Here is a 19026-nt window from a genome sequence, read left to right as displayed (position 1 = left end):
GAAATGTTTGAACATTTCGAATACCTCCATAATTCAGTAAACAGATATTTCCTAATGACCATATAATGTTACAGAATCTTACATGAGTAAAAATAATTTCAAAATGCGGATAGGCCAATAGATTTCAATGACTTCCTGTTGTTTATCCCCTGAACCAGAAGATTTACACTCACCCTAGATTCTTACCTTTCCCTCAACCCCTTCATTCTATTACTCAGTACTCAGTGTAAATTCCACCTCCCAGACAGCAGACAGCTCTTAAGTGTATGCTTTCCTGTTCATTACTATTTCTAATGCCCTCATTCAGAACTCTGGCAACTTACTTTATGATGTCAAATCTCTTACGTAGCATAAGAGGCCACTGCCCACCTCTCTTCTCTAGCTTCCCCCATTTCACTGTATTGTCTAGTAAGCTGATCTTATTATAGCTTTTTTTTTTTTTTTTTAGACAGAGTCTCTCTGTCGCTCAGGCTGGAGTGCAGTGGTGTGATCTCTGCTCACTGTAATCTCCACCTCCCACCTTGAGCACTCCTCTCGCCTCAGCCTCCCAGGTAGCCGGGACCACAGGCGCACACCACTGAACAGGGATAATTTTTTTTGTTTTTGTAGAGACAGTGTTTTGCCATGTTGCCCAGGCTGGTCTCGAACTCCTGGGCTCAAGTGATCCACCTGCTTCAGCCTCCCAAAGTGCTGGGATTACAGCCACTGTGCCCAGCCTATTATAGCTCTTTATAAAACAAAAACAACAAAAAAACCGAACATATTGATTCATGACTCCCTACCTTTGCATTCACATGATTCCTTTGCCTGGAATGTCCCCCTTCTTCTACCTGCTTGGGAATTCCTAGCTATATCTACTAAAATTCTATTCAGATGTCTTTTTCCAGGAAGCTTTTCTTAACCTAACTCACGCCATTAAGTTATTCGCTTTATTTTTCTAGGTTATCTTCTATTTGTTTCTACTGTTGTACTCATCATTCTGTAAGGTATTGGGGCTCTGTAGAATTTCTGTTACAAAATTACTTTTTGGTTTGATAATATTTACCTACATTGAGCAATCCCATAAGAAACAGGCCTGTGAAACTCTCTATTGGGTTTCCTAAAACAATATTGTTGAGAGATTATTTAATTACCTAGCTTTCTTTTTATAGGGACTTGCCAGAGAAATATATTTCTGGTCTTATCATATTAGTTACTCTTCAGATTTGTTTTAGAAAATAGTCACCATTAACACCTTTTAGAATTGGTTGGTGGAAAGTTTCCAATCAAAATTGTGGTCCACCTCTAGCAAGCTGTAAAATTTTATGATCTCCAATTAGCCTCAGTTTAAACTCTAGTCAGGCATTTAGCTTCACAAAAACTGAAGTCAGGGATAGTCAGTTTTCCCATATTAGTAGAGAGCTGGGAAGTGCTGATGTGCACAACCTGCAGCCTGAAATAGTTGCTTTTTCTAAATAACAGTAAAACTGTTGCTCTCTGAGGATGGATAGGTGGATGCTATTTGTTGTTTGCAAAGCTTAGGGAACCCTGTGGTTGAGATTTTTTCCAATACATGCATTTTTTTTCCCTTTGCAAAGGGACTTTGGATAATTGTTAATTTTCCCAAGAATATAATTATAATTCTTTTATTGTTTAAATAGAGTTAATAGTTTATCTACAGTTTCACTTTCTGCAGTTTCAGTTATCCATGGCTTGAAAATATTAAGATATTTTGAAAGAAAGAGGAAGAAAAAGAGGCGTCAGTCACATAACTTTTATTACAGCACATCGTTACGTTTCTATTTCATTATTAGTTATTGTTCATATCTTACTCTGCCTAACTTATAAACTTTAACATGCATATGTATGGGAAAAAAAACATAGTATATATAAGGTTTGGTACTATCTGCAGTTTCAGGCATCCACTAAGGATATCAGAACATATTCTCTGCATATTTAGGAGCAATTACCGTATGATATTTTTTTCTTTCTGTGTAAACACATGGTGTCATAGTCCATTTTGTGCTACTGTAACAGAATATCACAGACTAATAACAAATAACAGAAATTTATTGGCTTATAGTTCTGTAGGCTGAGAAGTCCAAAATCAAGATGCTGGCATCTGGGAAGGGCTTTTTTGTTGCATCATCACACAGAGGAAGGTGGAAGGGTGACAGAGAGAGCAAGAAGGGGCTGAACTTACCCTTTTATAACATCACCAATCCCACCCTAATCACCTCTTAAATATTCCACCTATTAATACTGTTATCATGGCAATTACATTTCAACATGAGTTTTGCAGGGGAGAAACATTCAAATCATAGCACATGGGTTAGGTGAGAAATGAAGAGTGAGGTATACAAGAGCATCCAGAACCATACTATATACATTCCAGCTGTTTTGGTGTAGAAGCAGCACAAATGTAGAAGCTGCATTGTTTCTTGATAAAAGGGTCCTGGAAAGATGACCAGCTATACAGTTTCCACTAGAGGAAATGCAGATTGGCTTGTACGACTTTAGAGTATGAAATATAAAGATCTGGAGTCTGTTCCATGTTTTTTCAGGACTGGTGTGACTATATTATGGATAACGAAGGAAAGGAGCCTCCTTTGAAAGAAGCATCTAAATTAGGGATGGGCTCCTCATTTGGAGGATGTTAGAAACTACGAATCAATGTCTCTCATGTTCAATGGAGCTCCCATTTTTATCGGTTTCATGAGACTATTATTAATTTATTTGAATCCAAGATGAGTCTCAAATATACCCAGAAGAAAAAAAATTAAGAAATGAAACCAAGACTCCTAATGCTTTGAATGTTCGTAACATTCGAGAAAAATTTGAGCCTGGGCTATATAATCAAAGTCTAGGATTTGTGAACCTAACAGGGTTCCACTGTCACCTGTTTTCAAGAGAGTGCTGAGAAAAATTCCAATCTATACCTTAAACAATTAGGTTAAATGATTTAAAGAAATTAGCCTTCAGAGGACTGAATTTTTAATGATTTTTCTACTTGGAAAATGTGACTTCTAAATAAAAAAAGTGCTTGCTTATTATAAAACCTTGGTTCAAAGGTAAATACTATGTTCTGACAAGTGTAAAATAAGTACAAGCACATGTGAAAATAACTGTTAACAGCAAATGCTTAAGAAGTGTTCTTGTTTTCTAAAATAAACATTTCCTGTTCCTAAAGTTTTTGGATCAGAAAATGGAAAAATATAACTCTAGTTAATGGGGATACGCAATTTGACTGTAGACCAATAATTAATTGTCATAAAGACTTTAAAAATCCTTCTAGATTAATAATGTGTAGAGGAGTCTTAGAGGATTACTCAGTAAAATAAATTCAAGGTAACAATATTAATCTAAGTTTCTTTAATATTCTTGATCTGGGTAAACATTTTCATAAATTAATTTTGTGAATTTTGAGTTTAAAATATGTCCTGCTCTAATTTCACCATGTGTAAAATAAAAAGGCAATCATAGTATTTTAGTCCATATAAAACCATGCCTCCATTTATAAAAACAGACTTTTTTTGGACAGTTTAACAGTTACAGAAAAACTGAACAGGAATTACAGAGAGTTCCCGTATGTCCCCTCAAGCCCTCTTCCCTCCAGTTTCCACTATTAGTAACATCTTGCATTAGTGTGGTACATTTGTTAAAATTGGTGAGCCAATATTGATACATTATTAAGTCCATAGTTTACATTAGGGTTCACTCTTTGTGCAGTTTTATTGGTTGTTATATTTTATTGGTTTTGACAAAGGTATGACATGTATCCACCATTACAGTATCATTCAGAATAGTTTCACTGCCTTAAAAATCCTCTGTGCTCCACCTATTCATCCAACCCTTCCCATGGACCACTGGTAACCACTACCTTTTCACTGTCTCCATGGTTTTGCCTTTTCCAGATTACCATATAGTTGGACTCATACAATATGTAATCCTTTCAGATTGGCTTTTCCTTAGCAATATGCATTTAAGGTTCCTCCATTATCCAGAGATGGTTTTAGTTGTCACAACTTGGGTAGAGAGATCAGGGGTCAATGCTACTGGCATCTAGTGGGTGGTAGAGACTGAGGTAGCTCATGAGCATCCTACAATGCCCAGGACAGCCCCCTACAAAAAAGAATTATTCAGCCCCAAATGCCAACCATGCTCGAGGTTGAGTAACCTTGTGTTAAGAGTGACATGTGGCATGAGAAATGGGGCGGTTTTGGCTCATGTTGTGATATTCTAGATTCAGATATTTCCCTGAGCAGAGAGGCTGAAATGCTGAAAATTTTTCATTTGATGACCTTGATGCTTCCTTTCCTGACCATCGTAAAGAACAAATGGCTCCTTTGCTTTGGCAAGAAATACTGAAGGTGGTGGCTTTTTTCTGTTTGTTTTGAAATGAAGTCTTGCTATGTTGCTCAAGCCAGTCTTGAATTCCTGAACTTCTGGTCTCAAGTGATCCTCCTGACTCAGCCTCCAGAGTAGCTGGGACTACAGGCACATGTTACTGCACCAGCCTTCAACGTGATTTTTTTTATTTCATTCAGGTGACAAACTCATGCTGAGGTTCCCAATTTTTGTCTCAGAGCTAGGATATTCTAAATTTGTAAAAAAAAAAAAAAAAAAAAAAAAAAGTTAAGAAATATTAACTTTCTATGAAACACTCTAAATACTAACAAAGAGCTTGGTGAGTTCTCCCACTTACCTGTGTCCCATCTGTGCTTCAGTTGCAAATATATATATATATACACAGAGAGAGAGAGAGAGTCTTATTCTGTCACCCAGGCTCCAGCGATCCTCCCTCCTTGGCCTCCCAAAGCACTGGGATTATAGGGATGAGCCACTGCCCCCAGCTCAGTTGCTTATTTTGCATTATTTCAAGGCAGTGGAGGCAAAACGCTCAAAATTAATTTCTCACAGATCAACATCACATCTTGGAGTAAAACAAACACATATTGAAGGTATTTTAATGTATGTTTTCTTGAACTTCTTCTAACTAATAGGGGAAATATTTTCATTAACTTTTACCAAAGATTTCTGGATAGTGTAAATATATTTTTCTATTTGGGTAACAGTTTATAGTATGCTGTTATTTCTCTGTTCATTTATTTATTTTTATCATATACCTCCTAGAGTAAGATTTAATTTGATGGAAATGTTTTGTGGATTCTGCTGTAATTAATGCACATAATAGCAGTCAGTAATAGAATTTCTGTAAACCTATATTTATTAATTATCTAATACCTTCTCTTCATTTTGCTGTTGATTTCCACTAAGTAGATTAAATTGTGTTCTTAAAAACAGAAATTCATTTGTGTATGGATACAAAACAGAATGTTCCCAAATGCAATCTTGGATGTGATGCTCTAAACTTTAGAAATCCAGCTTCATTTATTTTGGATTAATTTCTCCCGCTTGGAGGCTGACACACTGTTTTACATCTATCAAATGCATGATTATAAAATTAACAATTTTGTACAATAATGAAATTAAACACACACACACATGAACTGTAAACTATACAGCACCATCTCTGTGTCATAGTTTTAAAAGGCACTTCCAGATGACATAAAAAATGAAGAGATATTTTTTAAGAACCTATTGATTTTTGATCTCCAATTTTGTGTGTGGGGGGTTGTTTTTCTTTAACCCTAGTTTTATCTAATTTGAGATTCATGAACAAGGTATCTCTAAGGGAAAGAGCAGCAGGTATAATTATTAGTTATTTTATAAGACTTTGTGAAGTCTTTGGTATAGTTCTAAAAACAAAGTGAAAGAACCTAATGTATGTATAAAAATAGTTTTGCAAGTCAATTGGTTTCTAATTCTTTGCTTTCAACAAAATTGAAGAAGAACCTTATACTTGAGTTGTCAGCTGACAGATTATTAAAAATATTATTTAATAATAGCCCATTATGTGAGTTTTGCATACGACTAAGAAGAAATTTTAAAAATTGGGTGAAGTTGCCTCAACAAGTCTTTATTTTCTCATTCATTTATATGATCAAGATTCCTTAGTTCTTTCATGTTAAAATTTTTTAATTGAAATAATATACAGCCCAGATTCATTAACAATAAGTAACATTTGTCAACATGAAATTGGGAAAATAAAGTCCCTATCCATCTCATTAAGAGATGCATTTCTAGTTAAATTTTACCATTACAAACTTACACTTTTATTTACCAAAATGTGTATTACAGATTGAGCATCCCTCATCAGAAAATCTGAAATGCTCCAAAATCTGAAACTTTTTGAGCACCAATATGATGCCACATGTAAGTACTGTACTTAACACAACTTCATTTCACATATAAAATTATTTTAAATATGGTATAAAATTACCTTCAGGCTATGTGCATAATGTATATAAGAAACATAAGTGAACTTCATGCTTAGACTTGGGTCCCGGCCTCAAGATATCTCATTATGTATATACAAATATTTTAAAATCCAAGATAATCTGAAATCCAACACACTTTTGGTCCCAAGCATTTCAAATAAGGCATATCCAATCTGTACTGACATTATTTTGATCTCTAACAGTTGGTAATCCTATCTTAATCCATATAACTTTTTTTTGAGACAGCATCTTACTCTGTCATCCAGGGTAGAGTGCATGCAGTGGCACGATCATGGCTCACTGCAGCCTCGACCTCCTGGGCTCAAGTGATCCTCCTACCTCAGCCTCCCAAGTAGCTGAGACTACAGGCAGGAGCCACCATGTCCAGTAATTTTTTTTTTTTTTGTAGAGATGAGGTTTCCCTATGTGCCTAGGCTGGTCTTGAACTCCTGGGCTCAAGTAATCCTCCTGCTTCAGCCTCACAAAGTGCTGGGAGTACAGGTGTGGGCCACTGCACCCAGCCCATATAACTTTTACACTTACAACAAGAAATTAAAAATTCAATGTAAGAACATATTTTGTTGCAAAGAAGCAGAATAGGTGGCTCAATAAAAGATTTCCAAGAACAAAGAAAAAAATTACATTAGGATGTAACCAGGGTTGAGAACTCAAAAAAAAAAAAAAAAAGAAAAAGAAAAATTCTACATGGGGGGTAGAATAAAAATATGAATTCAAAGTGGGAAAAAAGAGCAATGTAAAATTTCCAACCATTAAGAAAGAGGTTGTTTGTATATTTTTTAAATTAATGATAATGGGTGTCAAAACATTATGATATTTAGATTGAATTGAACATATGAGTGATTAACAGTTTTATTTTAAAGTGTTAATATGGAGAATATGTTGGAAATTATATATTTTTTGCAACTATCTGGACACATGTTGACAATTTTAGGTCTATCTAAGTCTATGGGAGGAGGCATATGACATTTCACAATCCTTGTAGGAGAGATGTGAAGGGAAGACCCCTGAGCTATTCTTCCTCCTTCTTGTGTTACCCCAGTAGGAAAATGGACTTATAACTGGAGAAGAGAAGCTAGGTGTCAGCAGAGACATGATGGAGTGGACATTTCTTTCAGTCCTTTACCAGGAAGTCCTTTCAAACTGAGGAGGAACATACTAAGGGAGAGACACACTAGTCTTGAAGCCCATGGCATTCCTGAAGATCCACCTCACACCCCAAATTACCAAACCCCAAAGCTCTCTTCAGCTCAGTAGGTTGTCCTTTAATTTTCAGTAACCCTTCCCTACAGCAGAAGAACCAATTTTTCTTTTCCCTCATAATTTGAATCCCTCCCACTAATTTATTTGAAGATGAAGATATTATCCTCTTTTACTACCAGTGAAAATACAATGACTTGAGAAGAGAAAATGATCTGTGTGACGCCAGGGTAGAAGTGGAAGTTGTGGGCCCTCGAATAAACCACTAGTCTTATACTTGAAGCAGGATAAACAATAAATGCCAAACCCAAGGCAGAAACTAGAAACATGGAGGAAAAGAGGCATAAATGCCTCATATTAGACAGTTACATTCTAAGAAATCTTTCTTGCAGCAGTTACTTTCCTACAATGACCAACTTCCTCTGACTCCAAATTTACTCCTTATGTACACTTGGGTTAGATATTCCTTTGACTATCCAATCATACCATTGTATAGTACCATTTACACATGCATACATGCTCACCTAAAGAACTTTTTGTGTGTGTGTGTGTGTGGTTTTTTTTTTTAAATCGAGTCTGGGACCTGGTTTCGCTCCATTGAGTCACTGGTGAAAAATTTAGTAAATCTACGAAGAGAGTTTAGTAAGTGTAAGAAGAGTCTGCTCACTGTGTGTGATATTCCAATAGATTCATGTGTTCTACACACAGGGATCTCTTGGATATAAGGGAGGCATTTCTCAGGTGTCTGGGTGACTTTCTGGTCATTATCCAGGTTCCTGGCTCAGCTTCCCAGGTCTCTTTGAATAAGCAGAGGGGATCCACATTCAGACAAGGCTCCTGGGGCTCTGACCAGAGGGGCTGGACATCCCTGGTAGACCTGACATTGGGCACTGAGACTCCTGGAAAACTTAAGCTGTTAATTTTGCAGTTCTCCATCTTGACTGCTTCTCGGACTGACCATCAGTTGGTGGGTTTTCATCAGCCTTCTGCCTCACCTCCTCTGATCCAAGCAGCAGCAGGGACTCACTTGCATGCACTGGTCTTGTAGGCAGTGACTTTTAAGCCACATCCTCTGTCTACCAGGCTAAACTTGCCTGCCTGAGAGGCATACTCCTTCCATCCTCTATCGTACATCTGTGAGCTACCAACTCTGGCCCTAGTGTGATACTGCCAGAATGTTGTGTACCTCATCTATTTAGAGTGGGAAGCCCATAAGGCAAACTGAAGAGGCCCCGTATCCTCACTCCCTTTCTGCTCAGTTTTTTCATTTATATTATCTCAACTTCACTCTACTAACCAGAGCACCAAGGAAGGGTAGGTTAGCAATTACGTCTATGATGACTATAGAGAAGTGGGGAGATGACTTATGATCCTCTTTGTGCTGGATTCCCTACTGAAGGCATCTGATGGCTTCTGATTTCCCTGGTCTGAGAAGAAAGTCCCTCTCCACCTCTCCCTCCTTACTCTACCTCAGGCTGAGGGGCTCAGGCAACCTTTTATGTTGCATATGGCATAGGTATCTCTGCCTCACTCCAGAAGGGACCAACCAATAGCCACCTACTCACCTACTTCTGAGGTCTAGTGCCTACAGACCTGGTGTTCATAAATTTAAGTTCTGGATTTAGGTCTCCTTTCCTGTAGCCAGGTGATCAGTGACCGGCAAAAATCAAGATCCCAGACTTCCTGAGTAACCTCATCAAGACTGAGGTAACAGCTCACATAGCTAGTGCATAGACAGATGCAGGTTACATGGAGTCTGAATCCCGTACACATTTGGAGGCTCCCTTTGGGACTGCTGGGATGCATGAAACATGGGATTTCACTCACAGTTGTGCTCACTATGTGTGATATTCCTATAGATTCATGTCTCTACACACAGGGATTTTTGATCATTCTGAATTGTTGATTCCCATAAAAAATGAATACATGGTGATCACTGTATATGCTGCATTACTGAATACATATTTACGAGAGTCTCCAACACATCTTTACACGTCTGAGGAGTAAAAGAATTTCCCACAGATTAGCTTCTGGTTCCCATTTCAAACCTCATTTCTGTTCCACCTCTGGCATTGGGTGTAGTATGGCTCCTTAGTGCTCCAGGCCAAAATAAGTGGCACAGGGGTAAAGTCATTTCTGGTGGGGGGTGGGGGATTTGGAGAAAAAAAGAAAGGATTGCAGGGGAGTACACTGGGAGGGTTAGGAGAAATTCTGGAGATACGGTCCACTCAATGGAGGCACATACAACCAAGCTGAGAAACGACATAGTACCCAACAGAGTTGGGAGATGTGAAACCCAAACATCAATCTCCACCTGGGCATAGAGGAAATACTCGATTTCCAAGCAGGTTCTAGGTTCAGAGGAGAGAGCCCTTGGTTGGAAGCGCCGGTCTTGCAGGATGGGGTGGGGGCGTTAATGCAAACTTCTGGTCCAGCAGAGGTAGAAACAGACCAGATCTAAGTAGCAGCTCAGAGGCAGCGGACTTGAGGGATGAAGACGTGAGGCCCAGAGGGTGGTGCCTGGCAGAGAAAACAGCTGCCAGACACCAAGGCCACCTCGGGTTAAAGGGAACAAGTTATATCCAAAAAAAAACCAACACGGTGAAAATAGGAAGAATAAGGATATCACCTGGAGTGTTCTCCTGAGACACTCCCCAAGAACCTGGATTCTTTAACAATCCCTCCAGAGCAGGGACACTCAGCACATACATCTCCCACAAAGTAAAGTGTCTGAAGGCCTGGGCAAACCCTTCTCCCTCCCCTTCTCTCTCCTCCACGGGCCGGCCCGGAGGAGGCTCAGGGATGAGAACTACTGTCACTGCTGTTCCCCACCTCACCCCAACGAGAGAGGAATCTTTAGAGGTCTGTATCCCTCCTTCACCACCCCGCCTGAGCGCCTGCTGGAAAACACAATCACCGTCTCAAATCTCACCCTGCAACTGCATCCAAGCGCTTTCTCCAAGCGTTCGGGGAGCCGCCGGAACTCTTCTTCCAGGCAGGCGTTCCGAGACTCCGCACAATAGGTACCTACCCTTGGGGTTTTGAGCCGCAGTGTCTGCCTCTGTTCAAGTATCCAGGCTCAGGTACAGACCTTTCAGTGCAGGCGGCGGGAGGCGCGAACACGGAGGACCCCCTCAGGCATACTGCCGCCCGGGCGGCGCCTGACAGATTGCCTCCTTGGGATCGGCGGACATGCCCTGGGCGCTCCAGCTCCGCGCGCCTCAGACACAGGCTATGATTGGCCTGGCTGAACGTCAATCAGGGCTCGGCGCCGTGGAGGCGGGAGGAACGCTGTAGGCAGAGGCCGCTTAACTCCCTACGGGGTTATTCTCCGCCTCTTCTAGGGTAGGCAGGTGTTCCCGAGTCCCTTAGGGGGGGTCCCCGCGGCGGCCTGAGATGCTCGGCGCCAGGTTGTCGCGCCCTTGAGCTGGCTGAAGTAGACATTGACTCTGGAGAGTCTGCGTTTTTCCTGGTCCCAGAGCCGTGGTCCCGATACTGCGCTTCCCGCTCCTCCAGTCCCAGCTCCCAGGCTCCGTCTTCTCCCGCTTGGCGCTGGAGAAACACCGGAAGAGAGAGTCGCAGAGTGACTGCTGTGGCCCTGCGACCTGACTGCCACCTTCCAGGACTCTAGCCCTGGCTCCTTCTAACCTTCCCGCCCCTCAGTGCCCCAGAGAGGCTGGTTTGCGGACAATTATTCATCAGCCGGAAGAAAAGGAGGTGCCAGTGTTAGGCGCAGAAGAGGGTTGGACCAGAAAAGCTGGAGAGGGGCAAGAGGGGAAAGAGGGGGAAGGGGGAAGGCGGAAGGCGGAAGAAGTTGGGAGGGGTAACAGCTCGAGCTTTTCCTCTAGCGTAGTTTCTCTTCTCTCGGTGCCGCCCCATCTGCTTCTTGCCTCAGTTCCCCACTCGCACCCGTGCACCTCTGCGGCAGGCGTGTGAAAGGAATGGGAGGGGGGGCTTTTGGTCGGGATATCTGGTCCTCCAGACCCCACAGCCTTGGCTGAGAACTTACTTAAGCCCACTCCAACTGACTTGATAAATGAGAATCTTGACCAGCCCACTGGTAGGTAGAAATGAGGGACGTCATGTATCCCTGAATGGAATAACCCGAAACCGCAGGTCCCGTGGATGTGGGAATCCACAGCACTGGCTGCGCTCCTAAGGCTCCTAAGTCCACTTCCGAACCTCATCTAAGACCCTGAAAGCCAGACTAGGGACACATTGGATTATTATTATTATTTTTTTTATTTGAGACAGGGTCTCGCTCTGTCGCCCAGGCTGGAGTGCAGTGGTGTGATCTTGTCTCACTGCAACCTCCGCCTCCCGCGTTCAAGCGATTTTCGTGCCTCAGCCTCCCGAGGAGCTGGATCTACAGGTGCGCACCACCACGCCTGGATAATTTCTGTATTTTTAGTAGAGACGGGGTTTCACCATGTTTGCCAGGCTTGTCTCGAACTGTTGACCTCAAGTTATCCTCCCGCCTCCACCTCTTAAAGTGCTGGGATTACAGGCCTGAGCCTCTGCGCCAGTCCTACACGTTGGATCTTTTCCCAGACCTCCTCCTCAGACGTGGAGCGTACAAATGATGCTCCATCGGTTACTCTGATCCTGACTTTGGGACTGCCAGATAAAACTGGGAGAAACCCTACATTTACTCTTACTGTAACGTATTGGCTTGAAACTGCAGGTCAGAACCCATTTATGTTGAGACCAAAAGACTTTTTTTCCAAGTAGAATGAAATAGAATAAAATACAATTGAAAATACTTGCCTGCATCACAGGTAATGAGAGTAACTATAGTTTCATGAAACCGTTGTTTCAGTTAAATATGTTTTTGCGTGTGTGCATGTGTATCGGGAGGAGATATGTATTTCATATATATATGTAGAGAGGTGGAAATCAACAACAAAACTCCATAATTTTTCTTGTTTTCTAACAGTTCTTGATTTTGAGTAAAAATAATTCTTTAAGAACAAAATTTTGAGCCAGCTAACGAAAGATCAGAGTCAAGCAGCCTCTCATTGGGGCCTGAATAGAGGTTCATCTTATTTGGCTTTTTCGTTTTTTTCCTATCTTGTGGACTCCTTTTAAGGCCCAGCAAGGAATTACCCTCCCCAAGTTTCCACTCTCTGCTTGGTTCAGCCATTCAGCTGTCTCTCGGGCTCTTTGATTAATAAAAAGTCCAGTAGAGCTATTTTATCCTATGCATGTGTGGGAAGAGGGCAATGCCAGTGATTCTTTCCTGATTTGACAGAAAATTCACAAATCACGTTACCTTCTGAAGATAGAGATTTTAAGCTCAAACATTATCACCAGAGAACTGAATTATTAAGAAAGATGAGTGGTCAAAAGTACAGATGTTTTACAGATTAAGGGTCATTTTGTCAGGTCCTGTCCAAAATATTTGAAGTCTAGGGGTTTGAAAAATTGTTAGAAATAACCATTTATGACAACAGTTTTCATTTATTGTTCTCTCCAGCTTCAGGAGCAGGGGAGAACATTTTTTTCCTTCTTACCTTGCTGAGAATTTTTTCACCAGGGTTTCAAGGCTAAGAACTGAAATTCCAGCATTGACATTGAATTAAAAAGAAGCAAGCCCTTTTAGGAAGTCAAATTTTATTATATGAGATGGAATGTAATATTGAGATTACTTATTACTTAGGCATGGGATAGGGGGGCTTTTAACAACAGACCAAAAAAAAAGTTGGAAGGATAGGAATGAAATAAAGCAAACTTTCATTATTCATAGATGATACAATTGTCTACAGAGAAAAATAATCTAAAACATAAGAATTAAGAGTTTGGCACAGTGGTTGGCTAAATATATAAACAAATCTATTGCATTTTCTATAAAAACAAAAAAGTAGAAATGTGATTAACTGGTTTATATAACAAACTTACAGTACAGTTGACCTTTGAACAACATGGGCTTGAACTGTGCAGGTCTACTTATATATGATTTTCTTCTGCCTTTGCCACCCTTGAGACAGCGAGACCAACCTCTCCTCCCCTTCCTCCTTCTTAGCATATTCACCATGAAGACATGAGGATGAAGACCTTTATGATGCTCCACTTCCACTTAATGAATAGTAAATATATTTTCTCTTCTTTATGATTTTTTAAATAACATTTTCTTTGCTTTTCTGAGACAAGGTCTTGCTCTGTTGCCCAGGCTAGAGTGCAGTGTTATCATGGCTCACTGTAGCTTCAACCTCCTGGGCTCAAGCGATTCTCCACCTCAGCCTCCCAAGTAGCTGGGACTACAGGTGCACGCCACCCTACCTGGCTAAATTTTTAATTTTTTGTAGAGATGGGGTCTCGCTATGTTGCTGAGGCTGGTCTCCAACTCCTTGTCTCAAGCACTTCTGCCTCAGCCTCCCAAACTGCTGGAATTACAGCCATGGGCCACCGCACCTGGCCAACATTTTCTTTTCTCTAGCTTACTTTACTGTAAGAGTACAGTATATAACACATAAAAATATAAAATATATGTTAAATAACTTTATGTTATTGGTAAGACTTCTGATCAACAGTAGGCTATTAGTAAAGTTTTGGAGGAGTCAAAAATTATGTGCAGATTTTTGACTGCACAGGTGGTCAGCGCTACTAACCCTCGCATTGTTGAAGGGTCCACTGTAATCAGGAATAAATTCTCAAAAAGGAAAGGCATGCAAGATCTTAGTGGGGAAAATTAAAATCATTAAAAGAAGTTGAAGAAGTACTGCACAGATGGAGAGATACATTCATGGTTAGGAAGCATCAATATCATTAAAATGCCAGTTTTCCCCAATGTGATCTATAGTTTCATGCTATTTCTAGAAAAATTTCAACAAAATGTTTTATAGAATTGGACACAATGATATTAAAATGAAACGAAGGAACACAAGTTCAAGAAGAGCCAAAATACCATTGAAAATAAAGAGGAAGTTGGGGAATTTCCTGACTACATGAGAAGATATTATATACACCACTGGATTTAAGACCATGTGCTATTATTGGTGAGAGAGGGAGTAGACAACTGGGCCAATAGAATAGAATGGAAAGAGTGTCAGGACCCCTTGTATGTGAAGAATGGTCATTAAAGACCAGTGGGTAAAGGATGTATAATTCAATAAGTTTGAATTTATGACACTGGATTAGTGGATATATATACATCATAATAAATTCCAGATGAACTAAGTACCGACGTATTGAAGGCAAAACTGTAAAACTTTTAAATGAAAATGTGAAAGAAATATTTGTATGACTTCAAGGTAGAAAAATATTTATTAAAAAGACACACATACACATTTTAAAAACAAAAATGTTAAGAGAAGATGAATAAATTTGACCACATTAAAATTAGAAACTTTAATCAAAACACACTCTAAAGGAAAAAAAGCCACAATCTAAACTTATTTATATCACACATAATTTACATAGGATCAATATCCAGAACATCTAAGAATAGCCCCATAGGAAAATGATCAAAAGATGTGAAAGGGCAGTTCACAAAAAGGGATATATAAAAGACCAATAAACGTACAAAAGTTAAGCTCACAATAGTTATCAGAGAATTGTGAATTAGAACAGTCCTTGAAATAACATTTTAAAATCACTAAATAGACAAACATTGAAAAGTCTAACATTATCAAAAATCAATGAGGATGTAGGGTGAGGGGAACTCATACTCTGATGGTGGACTTCAAACTGAAATAATCTACTTGGAAAAAAATTGGCATTTTGTAGAGTTGAAGCTGAGAATATCCTAAAGCATAGCAGCTCTACCCTTAAATATATATGCACCTTAGGGAAATTATTGAATAAGGCACCAAGAGCAATGTGCAGGAAAAGTCATGAGAGCATTCTTTGTAATTGCAAAAAGCTGGAAACAACCCAGTGTCCATTTGCAGGTAAACTGATACACAAATTTTGGCATAATCATAATGTGGAATTCTATGCAACATCAAGATCAGTGGAATACAGATAAAATAATAAACTTGCATAATTCTTAAAATCATATTGTTGAATGAAGAAAACAACAGAAAACTACATTTTGATATTAATTATGATGTTAATTTGTTGTCAGACAAAGACAATATTTACTATGATGAAAAGCAAGATAATGATCAACTCCAAATTTGGAATAATAGTTGCATTTTGCAGAGAGGAAGGGAGATTCTAAGGGAAGACAAATACAGGAAACTTTAATGTTAAGGGTAACGTTCCATTCCTTCATGTGACTGGTGGGAAAAAATGGATGCTTAAAATTCTTGTAGATATGCATCACATGCATTACTTATTTGTAGAAAAATATTTCAAAAACTGGATCATAAGAAAAAAGGAAAAAGATGTATAAGAAATCATTTGCATAGAGACAGAAGTAACAAAGGCAATTTGATGAAATTTATTGAGACAGAAGACTAAAAAATGAAAAAACATGGTAAATATAAAAATATGATGGCAGAAGTAATCCAGATATATATGCATTTGTAATGTCCATTTATATCATTGCATTAAATCTAAATTTTTCTGCTCAGTAAAGATGGTCTGTGTGTGTGTGTGTGTGTATTTGCTATTCAAAAAGTGCTGGTGGCAATGGCTTATACCTGTAATCCCAGCACTTTGGGAGGCCAAGGAGGGAGGATCACTTGAGCCCAGGAGTTTGAGATCAGCCTGGGTAACATAGCGAGACCCTATCTCTACAAAAATAAAAAAATTAGCCAGGCGTGGTTGTGCATGCCTGTAGTCCCAGCTACTGAGGAAACTGAGGTGCAAGGATCGCTTGAGCCTGGAAGGTTGAGGTTGCAGTGAGCCGTAGTCGCACCCCTGCACTCCAGCCTGAGCGGCAGACTGAGACCCTGTCTCAAAATAAAAACAAAAACAAACAAAAAGCACCTAAAACAAAATGACACCGAGTGATTAAACCAATGGACAATGATAAACTCAGGCAAATGCTAACAAAAATTAATTATGGATAGAAATACTGTCTTACTCCATTTTGTGCTGCTATAATAGAATATCCAAGACTGGATAATTTTTAAAGAACAGAGATTGACTTATTACAGTCCTAGAGGCTAGGAAATCCAAGGTTGAGAGGCCTGCATCTTGCAAAAATCTTCTGGCTGCCTCATACTGTGGTGGAAGGCAAAAGGGATAAAAAGAGAGCTGAGAGAGAGAAAGAGAAAGAGAGAGCGCCCAAGTGCAACAGGTTGAATTCACAGGCTTTTAGCCTTTTTGTAATTGGCATTAATTCATTTATGAGGATGGAGTCGTCATGACCTAAACACCTCTCATCATTAAGCCTCACCTACTAACACTGTTGCATTGAATATTACATTTCCAACATATGCTTTTTGGGGACACATTCAAACCATTACAAATACTAATATTGAACAAAGTAGAATAAATGATGAAGAAATTTTTCAGTGTCAAAGAAGGATACTTTATTATGCTAAAATGTACAATTCACCAACTACCCATAAGTTATAAGCCTTCATATCCTAAACAAGTCTTTGAAAGTTAGGGAAAAAAATGTGCTTTGTTAGGAAAGATAAATTGACACATTTAAGAGCTTTTAGCATACTTTTAAACTAAACTGTCATATCCAATTGTAAAATAATGTGAATGTAAGATATTTTGCTAAAGCAAATAATGATCTTATCAAATATTTATAAAATTGTGTACTCAACAAATAGTGAATGCATATTTTCCCAAACATAATGCATTAAACCACAAAGTAAAATTAAATAGAAATTAGAAACTACACGGGCTATATTCTCTCACCGGTATAAAACACATACATAGAAAAACAAAACAAAACTAAAATAAAACAAAACAAAACCTCACCAAAACAGTACTAACAAGAAAGCCTCCACTTGGAAACTTAAAAACATCTCACTAATTTTTGGGTTGAAAAGGAAATCAAAATTGCAATTCAAAGGAGTTATGTTTTTGCTAGGAATATGGAGGGAATTCAGTTCAGAATTCATTTCTCTATATAGTACAGCAAAGAGAATGAAAAAGAAAACCACACAAGAACCTCATTTTTAGTGAAACTAGGAAACAAAAAGTATGGTTACATCCCAAATTGCATGTCATTTGTGCTTAAAGCAACGGAGAGCAGAACTGGGCATAAGAAGCCAAAATGTTGCTGTGGCAACAGATGAAAGCGTGGAGGGAACTAGTGGTGCGGGATCTCGGAAAGGGCCCGAAAATATTCTCTCTCTAAGAGTAGAAGCCAGCCTAGGTTGGAGCTGTTGGCAGTTGGCCTGAGCTACAGTGAGGCCCAGATGCTGGGGAAGGCAGAAGAAGGCCCACATATTGGGGGAGCAGACTTTGTTTTGGAGGTTCCAAGGTGGCAGATAACAAAGGTTCCCTCTGGAATGCAGGGGGTCCTAACACCGTGGTAGAATCCTTGCTGAAATAGATTAAATTCCCCAAGTTGGAAAAAACATGGATGCAGCGTATTTTAAGATAAAGTTTACGTGTTAGTAATAAAGGATTGGTCCTTCGGTTGTAAAACCTGGGAGGTTACTATTGCCCATGTCTTCTCTCACCAACCCATCATCCCACCCCCATCCAATAGGAGTCTTCCACTAATATCTGGTCCAGGAATGCTCAATTTATTCAGAATAAGTAGGAAAAGAAATGGCACAGTTCCACATAAATATGCCATGAGAAAAAAATGTTTACAGAAAGCAGCAAGATTTCCCTCCAGAAGTAATGAAGCAACCTCAGCCATGAAGATCATGGAGCCAAAAGGATGACCTTCAGCAGAAGCAGTTACGAGCCAAAGAGGTCCAAGGGCACTGAGGGAGGAGCCAAGTGGTAAGGGCCACCTCTGGCTGGGATCCAGGGTGCCCAAGTGGGAAAATGAGCAAGCCAGAGAGTGCTTGGTCTAGGGATTAAGAAAAGCACACAGTAATAGGTTGGACACTAAATTTGAAAATGAACAGTGAGAAAAATGCTGTGGGGACCAGGATTGAAATGAAGTAACAGAACAATTAAAATTACATGATCCAGGGACAGAGACTTGAACTCATAAACAGGCCTGTGTTGCCCATTAGTCACAAGGGGAGCAGTGAGCCATTGTTAAAATGCCAAGGATTCCCAATGCAGTTTACTTGGAACTTTGCCCAGCGATGAAGGAGTCTGACTTGTCTTTTCTGTAATAGTTAGAATCAAAGAAAAATAAAGCACAGCTGGTGGGAGGGTGAGAAGCAAGCATCATGAACCACGGTCTAATTCAAGGATCAAACTGCTGTCCAGTTCTGGCAGATTTTGGATTGCAAGGGGAATAAAGCTGAGAGGCCATATTGGCACCTAGGCACAGTGAGGTGAGTCTGGCCACGCATTTAAGAAGCCCCTGCAAAATGATACAGGTGGTTACTAAAAACCACCTCTGGCCTCTGGAAAAAAAGAAATAGCATCTCCCGGATAAGAATATCTGGGTCTCACACCTATTGACCAGGTCGAGATAGGGTTCAGTTGGGGATGGGATATAATAAAA

General features: G+C 39.7%; 1 long non-coding RNA gene and 1 pseudogene across 2 annotated transcripts; both read right to left on the bottom strand.

Moving 5' to 3' along the window:
- Positions 1–1738: 1738 nt before the first annotated feature.
- Positions 1739–11321, bottom strand: LOC100294145 (uncharacterized). 2 transcript variants are annotated; one of them, NR_037177.1, is made up of 2 exons: positions 10471–11321; positions 1739–4577 (listed from the first exon to the last, which is right to left on the bottom strand). It is a non-coding gene; the product is annotated as an uncharacterized LOC100294145 (long non-coding RNA). The 2 variants fall into 2 exon arrangements; NR_037178.1 differs by having other exon boundaries at positions 10570–11321.
- HLA-Z (major histocompatibility complex, class I, Z (pseudogene)) lies at positions 9008–9095 on the bottom strand (annotated as a pseudogene).
- Positions 11322–19026: the final 7705 nt, after the last annotated feature.

This window comes from Homo sapiens, chromosome 6 (assembly GCF_000001405.40).
Source record: "Homo sapiens chromosome 6, GRCh38.p14 Primary Assembly".
NCBI lineage: Eukaryota > Metazoa > Chordata > Mammalia > Primates > Hominidae > Homo > Homo sapiens.
The sequence above is the reverse complement of the archived record's forward strand: the minus strand, read 5'-3'. Positions and strand labels throughout refer to the sequence as shown.